This window comes from Homo sapiens, chromosome 12 (assembly GCF_000001405.40).
Source record: "Homo sapiens chromosome 12, GRCh38.p14 Primary Assembly".
In the NCBI taxonomy this organism is placed as follows: domain Eukaryota; kingdom Metazoa; phylum Chordata; class Mammalia; order Primates; family Hominidae; genus Homo; species Homo sapiens.
Window position 1 is genome coordinate 15,482,717 of NC_000012.12, and position 12,768 is coordinate 15,495,484.

General features: G+C 36.0%; 1 protein-coding gene across 5 annotated transcripts in view; it reads left to right on the forward strand.

Annotated features, from left to right (window-relative positions):
- The window catches only part of PTPRO (protein tyrosine phosphatase receptor type O), a 275,824-nt gene that overhangs the window by 160,209 nt on the left and 102,847 nt on the right, over positions 1 to 12,768 (forward strand). For all 5 annotated transcript variants that reach the window (XR_931316.4, XR_007063106.1, NM_030667.3 and 2 more), the window contains exon 2: positions 1,258 to 1,531. Coding sequence is in view for 3 of the 5 variants with exons in the window: in NM_030667.3 (NP_109592.1) it covers positions 1,258 to 1,531 (274 nt within the window). In the remaining 2 variants the exon portion in view is untranslated. The remainder of the gene's footprint in view (positions 1 to 1,257; positions 1,532 to 12,768) is intronic.

Genomic DNA, 12,768 nt, shown 5'->3' on the forward strand with positions numbered 1-12,768 from the left:
GCAAATGCCCATATATCGTCAATTTAATCAGCCATTCCTTCACTGATGTAACAGAAACTTAACAGTCATGTGTTATGTGTTATATGACAGACTCAGTGTTAGGACAGTAAGTTAAGAGATGAAGACAAATGAACATGTGGAACAATAATGAGACTGATTTTTTGTACTGGTGACCATGGGCAAGTGACTTAATCTTTCTGAGCCTCAGTTTCCTCAGCTACAAAGTGAGATTAAAAGTAACGATACGTATCTCATGAGGTTATTTTCAACATTAAATGAGATGTTTTTATATATGGAGCGCCTGGCATAGTGCCTGGATCCCTGTAGATTCTTAACAAGTTTCAGCAATTTTTCCACCCTGCTATTATAGAAAAGAAATTTGAGGCTCAGTGCAGTGAATAACTTACTCACCCGGGACACTACATACCTAGAAGATAAATTAAACCCAAGCACATGGTACAAAGTACATGAGTCTTGTTTGAGACCAGAAAGAAAGATTAATTCTGCCTATGGAGTCTGAGACAGAATCAGGGAGGAATATTTAAACCAATTCCATGGATGACTTTTCAGGTATTGTCCATAAATACATATTTGGAGACTTGGAGCAAAGTTTTTAAAAAGTCCATCAACCGCTGATCCCCTAGACACCAGCAGATCCTCCATCTGGTCTCTTCCTCACTAGCATAGCTTCCTTCATCTTTAAGAGATTATGCTGGTTAATCTTTAATGACAAGGATCAACACCAGTTTCTCAATCCTGACCTTTTTATAATTTTCAGAGCTAGCAGATGAGAGGAAATAGACGAAATAACTGCCTTGATATATTCTGCTAGCATCACTCCCTCTAAAGTAAAAAGAGTACTTCTTTAAACCATGTAACTTTGCCAGCACAGTTGAAACCAAGAACTTCTCTAGAACTTGAGTGTCAAAATGACTCATTCATTATTTACTCCTCCACAGGATGTTTATTTTGTTTATTACATGACACTGTCCACAAACTGGAAGCAGATTTTCAGTGGAAAAAAATCCTCAAAGTAAAACCCTGAGAAGATTATTAATCCTAAGAAGGATAATCTCTTTCTGATTTTCTTTGTGTAACTAAAATACCTATGTAACTCTATTTTAAGAAATAAGGCTTACCATAAACATAACTAATGTTTATGATACACAACAATATGTAAAAATTATCTTAGCATAACTTTATTGCCAATTATCTGAATATAACCTCCATCTCTTTTTATTCTGTTTCATTCAACAGAATGCTACAGCTTTCCATGTAACTGTCCAAGATGATAATAACATCGTTGTCTCATTAGAAGCTTCAGACGTCATCAGTCCAGCATCTGTGTATGTTGTGAAGATAACTGGTGAATCCAAAAATTATTTCTTCGAATTTGAGGAATTCAACAGCACTTTGCCTCCTCCTGTTATTTTCAAGGCCAGTTATCATGGCCTTTATTATATAATCACTCTGGTAGTGGTAAATGGAAATGTGGTGACCAAGCCATCCAGATCAATCACTGTGTTAACAAGTAAGCATCATGTGTAATATTGTCCCGTTTCTTCTTATTGTTCCCCTGTTTCTTCCCGTAGGGCTCGAATTGACAGACTCCACCCAGAATGGCAAAATCACTTGCCTTAATGCCAAGTGACGTAGATTCAAAGTTATGAGCTATATTAAGAATACAGCTGAAGTTTGATGTTTACTCTTTACCTTGTGATAACAAAAATATTTTTAAACCCAAAAAAGTAAACCTCAATGATGTAGTATATTTTGAGACTGAGTAACAATTTCAAATTCATGATTGGACCATGTAATTTTCTGCTATGTTGCTTAATAATGTCATCATAACTTGTTTATTTTTTTCCAGAGCATGTATTCTCATATTAAGCAATTCAGTTTGGGGACAATGAACTGATACTCCTATTTAACCTGCTCAAATTCAGGTATAGGTCTTTGGCTGAGAGAGAGAAAAAGATATATTTATTTATCAATTGTTATTCCCCACCTCATCTTCAAAATAGCTTTGCCTTCTACTTCTTAAGAAAAAATGCCAAGAAAAAAAATTACTGGCATTTTAACCTTCATTAGTCCATGTCATAAAGAGTTAAGGCTGACATTGGGAAATTTTTAGGAATACTTTTAACTCCATGTGATTTTTTTTCACTTTACTCACTGACTTTAATATCTAATCTCAAATTAAGATGTGACTCTACTGTCTATGTTGACATGTGGAAGAAAAACTGATATCTGTAAGACAGTAGAGTTTATCACTAGCACAATATAATGGCTCAGCAAAGTCCCTTTTGCTTGTGTTCTTTAGTGTAAGTTTTGCAACAGCTGCAATTTGTTAAATGCCATCTATGTGTGATTGTTCTGGTGATAAATACGTGGAAAGACAGTGATATTATCTGTTGGGATAAAAGGAAGCAGAAACTACAAGAAGCAAAAACTCAGAACCAAGCTAGAGGACATATTTTTAACACATCTCTCAAAAATTAATTAAAGTCTCCATTGGCACAATCCCAGGATCAGTAGTGAGTCCTAAAAATTAGGAATGGCATAGACCCAAGACCTTCAAAGTTTATAGACATAATGAACAGATCTACTAGTTGAATTAAAGGGAGAACTTACCTGGTAAAATACTGTCTTAAACAAGCTCTAGAAAAAGATGAATTGCAAGTCAGATTTAGGCAGCAGATATAGGCACATAACGCCTACAATACAAACTCCTTAATATCAAAAGCTCTGTCTTACTTATCTTCATAATTTCATAAACACCTAGCCCAAGCCTTATGCTTGCTTAATAGATGATCCATAAATATTAGTACAATTTAGTTGAGCAAGTAATAGGAGAGACCCGGGGGGAAAAATTAAGGCACAAAGAAAAATAGATTTAGGACTGTAATGACGGTCGCTGATCCAACATTTATGAGCATGCACTCAGCCATTCCTCATCAGTTGCAGCTGAATGATTCAGCCCTTTAGCTAACTGTTCATGAAGAAATTTGATAGGTAAGCAATGCTAAAAAATTTCTAGAATATCACTTAGCATTTGCAATGAGTTCCATTCAAAATATATTCTATTTTCCTTTGTGATGTTTTTCTTTGACCTGTAGGGCTTACAAGTGTGTTGAATATCCAAAAATTTGGAAATTTTGCAGACATCTTTTTTCACTGATTCCTTGAGGAAGTGTTGTTGTGATCAGAGAACATATTTTATATGATTTCTTTTACTTGAAAATTGTTGAGATTTGTTTTATGGGTCCAAATATGGTCTTTCTTGCTGTGTATTCTGTGAGCACTTCCAGGGTGAAGTTTCAATAAGTACCGACCAGGTCACGTTGATTGTTCAAGTCTTCTATGTCCTTACTGATTTTCTGTCTATTTGTTCTAATAATGACTGATAGAGGAATCTGAAAGTCTCCACTTGTAACTGTAAATTTGTCTATTTCTCCTTTCACTTATTTTGGTTTATGCTTTACATATTTTGAAGCTCTGTTGTTATTAGGTGCAAAAGCTTTCAAGATTGCTATGTCTTCTTGATAAACTGACCCTTTTGACTATATGTAATGTCCCTCTATATTCCAAGCAATATGCCTTGTGTTAATTTCCCTTTTGCCTGATATTAAAATAGCCATAGTTTTCTTTTTTAAGTGTTTGTGTGGCATACCTAATCCACCCTTTTGCTTTCAGCCTACTTCTGTCTTTACGTGTAAAAGGGTTTCCTGCAGACAGCATAGAGTTGAGTCTTGCTTTTTTTTTCCAATCTAAAAATCTTTGTCTTTTAACTGGAGTATTTAGGACAGCACTATCCAATAAAAAGAGAATGTTAACCTTATATGTAATAGTAGATTTTCTGGTAGACACATTAAAATGCTTTTTAAAAAGGTGAAATTAATTTTAATATCATGGTTTACTTAATCCATTATATTCAAAATATTATTTCAACATATAATCAATATACATATTTACACATTTTTTACTTTCATACATAAATTTAAATAGAAATAAAGTTGCACTAGCCTAATTTTAATCGCTCAATAGCCATATGTAGCTAGTTGCTACCAATTTAAATAGTGCAGGTTTAGACAATATATATGTAATTATTAATATTTATTATTATAATATAATACAATTATTTCTATGGTTGAATTTGAATTTACCATATTGTTAGGCTGTCAGGTAGAACAGGGAGTGAGTCGATCTAGTCAATAGTTGAGCTGGGTTTAAGGTATTAGACACCTTTCGTTCATCACAGATTTCCAGTTCTTCCCATGATAGGCTGCCAGGAGTGGTAGTGGGTATTTCTCAGTGTTTCAGTTTCACCCTCAGTATGCAGCAAGCCCTGAACACCGGCACCACAGAAGAGCTCCCCCAGCAATAGACTGCTGTTGCTTTTCACTCATTGCTAACTTTTTGGTGGGGACAGAGGATGTTCTTCGTTCTCGTGGTCCAGCCTCAGGCTTAGGCAGACCCTGTGATGTTAGATGGGACATTCTTGACATTTTTACCCCTCAAACTACACCGACACTGAAATTCTACATTAAATCCATGGGTCAGAGAGATTCCTGCCTCTTCTCCAGTGGTAGCAGAACCACTGATACTCTACTTTGTATTAGTGCAGGACTCTGGTCCCAAAAGAGTTTCTGCTCCTCTCCCAGGAACAGGCGTCTTTTGTTTCTATTCATCCTTCAAAAGAAGGGATATTTTCCTGAGAACTAGAAAGGAAAGATTTTTCTGCCCCTCCACAATACATTAAGGCTTCTCCTTTGTATTCAGGAAAGGTCCAGGGAAGTAAGTTTTCTTGCTGTCCTCTTAGTGGTTTCAATTATCATCTGCACACCTGTCACCCCCATACCCCCATCCCCAGCCCCCCAGAGGGAGGCTCTCTCTAGTCCCCTATCCTGCCTCTGGTAGTCCTCATGAGCATGGGGTAGAGGCCCAAGGGGAAAGCTAGAGAGAGACAGTAGACTCTGTTTGTGTCTGTGTCTCCCAGTTAGTCTAGACCAGTGGTGACCTAGAACTTTGGGATGATGGAAATGTTCTATGTCCATATTGTCCAACATAGTAGTCACTAATTTTTAATTTTAATTAGTTTTAGTTCATTTAAAATTTGATTTAAATAGCTCTATGTAGCTAATAGCTACCATATTGGACAGAGCAATTCTTTGCATCCATTTAGACCATACTCAGCCTTTATGAATCCATTAAACTCGGAGCTGCTTTCTTCTTATCTGCTTCGATGTTGTATCCTCTTCCTGCTGTGCTTTGCCAAAGGTGAAATAGTGTGTCGCCTCTCTCCAGAGGGGCTGGTCACTCCTTCGAATTCACATCACTTGGTTCACTTGCTACCTCACCTCTCCTGTAACCTCAAGAATAGTTATGATTTCGTGAATTATGTGGCTTTTCCTTGTTGAGGTGGAGAAGAAGTGATGTTGTCCTGGGGCTTTCTACATCTTAAGGGGAAGAGAAAACACGTATTGATTTCCAAAGAGTAAAATTAATTCATGATGGTCTATTAAATATTATCTTGTACCTCATTTTTAAAGGTTCAATTACATTATCCCAAATTTGAGGGGCAATAATAGGTTGGGAATATCAGAAGTGGGAATTAGTGCACAAATATTTCTGTGACATTAGGCATGAGCTGGCATTTGGTGACATTTGGGTTTCAGCTTCCACCTTCATAAAAGAGGGAATTGAAGTACATGATGACTAAGATAAATTTTGAGCTCTGAAACTAACATTATCTGTCAGTTAATGATGTGTTTTTGCCATCTTTATTTTTCTAACTGAAAGCTTTTTAAACAAGTTTGGAAAACATTTGTAGTATCTGCTCACAGAGTTGACATATTTCTCCTGAGAATAAAAGAGTACCTTTATAGCAGTCATTTATTGTGTGTTAGATGCTTGTCTTGATGAAATAAGCAATGACAAAGCAATTGGCCCCAGGGCAGTCCTTTGATATTTCACTATAGTTGTTCTGAGTCTGTCACTCTTAGAGAAAGCTGAAAAACATGGCAAAGAATAAATTTGGCACAGCAGAGTCATTTGGCCAGTTCAAAAGAATTTCACAACCCTTAGGCTGTGACATGTCATTAATATTTAATTGATTGAGAACCTTCAGTATATTGCCTGCCCTTCAGAGGGAAGGGGTAGTTTCTCAGCACGTAAAAGGATGCCTGGAATCAGTTCCTTGGAAATTGAGGAAATGTCACATACACACAGCTGTGTCATGTGTCAGTGAAGTTCTACAGATAGTGGCTGTACACATTAAAGAATACACATAGAGACACTCTACAAATATAATATTCTATACAGTCCTATTCTAAATAAAAATAATTCATGAATTTTTATTTTAGTTATCAGGTACATTCTCTGTGCCATGTCCTAGGTACCAAAGAAATAAAGATAGATAAAAATACTCATAATCAAAGATGTTATACTATAGTGGAAGAGACAAATAAAAACCATTACAAATAATATGATAACTGCTATTGTAACCAGAAAGGGGTCACAATCCAGACCCCCAAGAGGGTGCTTGGATCTCACGCAAGAAAGAATTCAGGGCGAGTGCACACCGCAAAGCAAAAGCAAGTTCATTAAGAAAGTAAAGGAATGAAAGAATGGCTACTCCATAAGCAGAGCAGCCCAAGGACTGCTGGTTGCCCATTTTTATGTTTATCTATTGATTACATCCTTAACAAGGGGGTGGATTATTCATGAGTTTTCCAAAAAGGGTGGACAGTTCCCGGAACTGAGGGTTTATGCCCCTTTTAGACCATATAGAGTAACTTCCTGACATTGCCATGGCATTTGTAAACTGTCATGGCACTGGTGGGTGTCTCTTAGCATGCTAATGTATTATAATTAGTGTATAGTGAGCCAGTGAGGACAACCAGAGGTCAGTCTCATAGCCATCTTGGTTTTGGTGGGGTTTGGCCAGCTTCTTTACTGAAGCCTGTTTTATCACCAAGGTCCACCCCAGTAGGTCTCAGCCTTATTTTACCCAGTCCCTATTCATGATGGGGTTGCCCTGTTCAAATGCCTCTGACACTGTGAAAGAATTATGTGAAAGAGACTGCCTTGCCTTCCTAGGGAGCACTGGGAAGGCAGCACAGAAGAAACAATCATTGAAAAATAAAGGAAAATTTGCCACAAGAATGAAGAAAGGAAAGTGTTACAGAGTCAAATGGAATCGTATATGCAAATAATGGAGGCATACATAGCATGGCACACTTGATGACTGCAGAAAGTTAAGATGGCAAGTGTTAGCTGTTCCAGAAAATAACAAGAAAGGTGGCTAGAAATGTTGAAGAACTTTAAGTACCTTGCAGAGGAATTTAGACTTTAACCTATAAGTGATGAGGGAGAAATTACATAATAGGATTTGAATGGAGAAAGCTCTCTCTTGTAGCAAAGCTGCAAGCCAAGAGATCCTGAATCCTGCATTGGAATAGAAAAATTATCAAGCAAGTATTTGGGGTAGTAGTTCAATCATATGTATAGCCTTAGGCAGATGATTACTTTCTCTAAATCTTAGTTTTCAAATCTACAATTCATTCTAGGGGTTAGCAAACTTTTTCTATGAAGGCTTAGATAATAAGTGTGTTATGCTTTGAGGGCCATACAGACTATATTGCAACTACACAACTCTGCCGTTGTAAACAACAGCAGCCACACACAATACATAAACAAATGATAATGGCTATATTATAATTAAACTTTATAGACACCAAAATTTTATTTTTTTATACAATTTTCACGTGCCATGAAATACTATTCTTTTGTTTAGGCACAACATCTAAAAATGTAAAAGCCTTTCTTAGCTCAAAAGTCAAACAAAAACAGGTGGCAGGGCAGATTTGGCCTTGTGGACTGTAGTTTGCTCACTTGATCTGTCGTATCATTATAATATGTAATATTGGGATAATTAGAGTGCCTACTTGGTGGGGGCATTATAAAATAATATAAAGTAAGCGCCTTAACAAAGCATGCAGTATAGGATCAATCAAGATAAGAAGTATCAATGGCATTAAATAGAAAGTTACTCAAGGTGTCAGAAGTGAAGGAGATTGAGACAGATTGGGCAGGGAAATATCAGTGAGAAGGAGGTGACTGGTTTAGGACAAAGATTCTGACTAAAGTGAGAATATCAAGTACCGTACAGACATTGAAATTTTGAGCAGAAATGAATAAGAATATTAAGGTGAGAATGGAGGCAGGGAGAATAATTTAGAAAGTTGTTGAAATGTTCGAGGAAAGAAATGATGAGAACTTGAACTAAGGTACTGGATGTGATGGTCACCACCTCACTTGGACTGTGGGCAGCTGGTGTTGCCAGACCTACCTCGCTGGCCTGCTTTGATGTAGCTGAGATGCCAGGTCAGGTCTCAAATGATCATCTATGCACCAAACAGCAGCTCTGGCCTCAGTCCAGTCTCTTTTCCCTGTGCCTGCCATCAGAAGTGAGGGTCTAATCCCAGATCCTCTCCCTCAAGAGAACTGTGCCAGAAGAGACACATTCTTCAGCTGGTCACATCAGAGGTTACTGAACATGAACACAATTGCTTCTTTAGTTTGTATTCTTTAGTCCAGCTAAACAGAGCAATCTCAGAAAGAAGCAACTCAGCAGTTAGCATTTAATAAGTAATACATAGCTACTTTTGTTTTCTTTAAACAATATGTGCTCCACATTTGTTTGTATTTCTTGTCTCTTCTCCGAGATAGTCACATCCAGAACTTTCAAAACTTTCCTATTCATGATCTCTCTTGAATGATTCAAAGATAATTAAGGGGCATAAAATATTGTTCAATTTGAACATGAGTTTTCATTATATGAGACACCTAATGAGGGAAAAAATGATCACACTAAATGTCATTTTTTATTAAAGAAAAAACTAGGAACTTATGCTAGGATTTCTTGTCAAAATATGCAGTCCATTCTTCTTGTCATCCACTTTTTGCTCCTACCACAAAGCAAAAAGAAAAGCAGAAGCACATTTCCAGACACAAAGCCACAATAGTTCTCTAAGAACCAGAAACAAGATAAAAACTCAAAGCAGGGAAATGGGCTGAAGTAATGGGCCCTCTGTGCTCTGGGTCTGGAAAAGACACTATTGAGTCTGGGCCCCAATATAGTCAGAAGGACTGAAATGCTCCACGCTAGACAGGGCACAGAGCCAGCCTCTCTGCTTACAGCAAAGATTCTTCCTGTTTGACAAACAAACAAACAAACAAACAAACAAAAACATACATAAAGACCTGAGGATGCAGGAGACACATATTCATCTTACTACCGAGGTCCAAGGCTAGTTACTCTCTGACTCAGTGAATGAATCTATAGTGATAACCACTATATCATCCACAATATTAAGAATGGCAAAATAATGTCATATGTCTTGCTGTAGACTGGGTGCTTTGGTGGGCTGAGAGGATGCAATGGCTTAATTATTTTTAAAAGCAAGGCATAATAAGAGAGAAATGGGGAGATGAAAAAGCATCAAATGAGCCCAGAGCCTGTGTCTCAAAACACATGAAGAACTTATGCTAAAAAAGATAGATATCAAAACAACGATAACAGTTCAGATTATATTTTAAATAGCAATTTAACAAAAATTTAATTATGTTTATAATGTTCAAGGACATAAATGTAAGAACCACCTCCAGTTTTTGAAACCAGGGAATTAGTGGGAAAAAAAATTGGCAGAAATAGTGCAGTGCTGTGCCTACAGTTCCACCTAATCAGGAGGCTGAGGCAGGAGGATCCCTTGATTCCAGGAGTTCAAATCAAGGCTGGACAACATGATGTGACCCTATCTCAAAAAAAATTTGCAGAAATAAAATAAAAACATATAGAATAAACATGAATAAATTAAAATTTTTATAAATGAAAACATAATTATTTAAATTAATTTAAAATTTAATGCATCAAACTAGGTAAAATTAATTTGATTGATTAAATTTAAAGTTTACTAATTGAAAAGCTTCAGTAGATAGGACAAATTCTATACTGATAAAAGTTATAAAGAGCTAGTAAATTGGAAGATAATACCATGCAATTTGCCTCATAATATAGCACAGTGAGGCAATTCACAGGCATGGAAGTGGGAGAGGCTCTAGCTAAGAAGGCTTAAGAATTCATGAAAAAGAAGGAGGGAATGGTGGGCACAATATTTGGAGAGATGATTATGAGAATTTCCAAGACTTGAAAAATGACATGAATTCACAGACTGACAGAGCATTCCAACTAAGTACCTAATAGAGTAATTCAAAACTAAAACTACGCCTAAATATATAATGCTATATTATTGTTATTATATATCATCAGATTACTAAGGCTGAATGAAAATAGATAAATAAGCTTGAAAGGTACAAGAGAAAAAAAGCGAAGTATCTACAAAGGAATGACTATTCTACTGACAGAAGTCTTCCCTTCTGCAATAACTGGTGAAAGAAAACAAAAAAACAACATCTTCAAAGTACTGAGGAAAATACCTGTCTACCTAGAATTTTATACCCAGATACATCAAGAATAAACCACATTAAGAATAAAGATAAAATAAAGAAATCTTCTAATATACAAACCCTAGAGAACTTAACACCTATAGCTCTGAGTTAAAGAACTGTTAATAGATAGATTTCAGCAAGAAAAAAGGTGAATCTAGAGGAAAGTCCAGGACACAATTTTAAAAAATGACAATGGGAATATGGTATATGACAAAGATTGTGTTACAAATTAGCAGGAGAAGATGGAAAAAGAACCCCAAAACAGGCAAAAGAATTTAACAATTCTAAGAAAAGGAAAGCTGATTGACCAAAAAACATAAGAAAAAATCATTAATCTCCATGAGCAGGAAATTAAAACAAAGAGATAACATTTCACACACCTCAGAGTGGCAAAAATTAAAAAGACTGATATCAGCGAAAGTTGGAAAATGATATGGAGAAAGAGGAACTATCATACACTGCTAATAGATATGTAAATTGCCCTAATCTATTTCTAATCTAATTAGAAAACTTTCTGAGGCTAGACTATCTGACACAGATGATGTGTAGACCCTTCTATTCAGGATTTTCAACCTAAGGCGACATGCCGCAAACATTTATTGCAGCATTATTTGTAAGAGTGAATGATTAAAAGCAATTACTCTACTAAAAGAATAACAGGTATATTGTGTAGGTTATATAGTTGCAAAACGGACACTAAAATAAAATTTTTAGACGTTCTTGTATCAAGAGTGATAAATCTTAAAACAATGTTAGGCAATAAAAACAAGCTGCAGGATAGTTATGATAATTTACATAATAATTTAAAACATGAAACAATGTTGGATGCTTACAAATATATAAGTTTAAAAAACATGCATGAGAAGATAAATACCAGATTCAGAGTAATAATTTACTTCTGGTCATGGTGGGAAAAGAATGGGGTTTGGGTAAGTTACAGGGGGGAATTTCAAATATATTTTCTAATACTTTATTTATTTGAAAAATTAAAACATCTGTGGACAAGAAAGTAATGAACAAAGATATTAAGTGATTCACCTTGTCCAACAACTCCATTTCTCTGTCCAGTCCAGGCTGGTCATAAGAAAAAAAGGGAAGTACAATGGAGTGACTGACAGGGCAAGGACTATCAGCTTAGATTAGGATTTAACCTTGTCATCACTGAAATACCTGTTAGTAACTATAGCTCTAGTTCATACCACACCACTTAATTTCTAAAAAGAAAGACAATGAGAGAAGTCACTGGAGAGATAGTAAAATATTTTTAGACTATACGTTTGAGTTCTTCTAAAAACAGTAATTCTTGAATTGAATACTCCTCAGTGATGCTTAGACATCAACAGGATTTACTGCTGACCTGGGTCATTTACACTGAAGCTGAGGGAAACATAAAAAAAACATACAAGCAAGCATTTTAAGACATTCTCTTAGTTTAAAGTTTAAGTAGCTTGTTGCAGAAAAAAAATTGGAAAATAAAATATCTGTTCTCTAATCCTCCTGTCTGTCTTGAATTTCAAAGTTTGACCGTGGCTTTGATGTGCAGACTTCGTGCCTCAGGGCATGAAAGATTGAGTGCCCTTCTAACTTCTCTTTTCAGTAGAAGAAACCCTGATGAGGATGTGAAACAGGACTGCAGCAGTGAAGGAGTTACTGCTCCGTGGCTACTTTTTCTGTCTCCTTTCATTTTAGTTCTCTTAGGGTCAGAGTCAATAGCTGGATCTGGTAGACTCCATGGGTTAGTAAATTAGGCTGGGTTGAAAAAAAGAACTTGAAGCAGTTCAAAACTTCTTTGGGAGTTTTGAACTCAAAACAGAGTTTTCAAGGGTTGGTTGATTGGTTGACATGGTACGTAAGTGAGTTAGTGAGTTCATTCAGAAATGTTACCTTCATGTAGGAAGACTAGGGATGAGACAAAGATAAAATTCAAACCTTTTAACCAGACTATAGCACATAGTCTACAGTGACATGATCATAAAATATACTGGAGTCTGAAGGTCTTCCTAACTTTTTTGTAGATGCTGTTTTTCAGAAAACTCCAGGAAAAATCAAAGCATGAACATGTAGCTTCAATTATTTCTGGGTTTCTTAAAGTCAAAAACAAAGATAGATTAAGAACCTGAGCAACAAAATAAAATACATTCAGCTACAGATTGAGACATACTAGATCCTCAATAGTTATTTATTGAATGAACTAAGTCAAATTTGGAGTTCTCATGTTATTGAAATTGAAATTTTTTAAATGTAAAGTTTAAACTA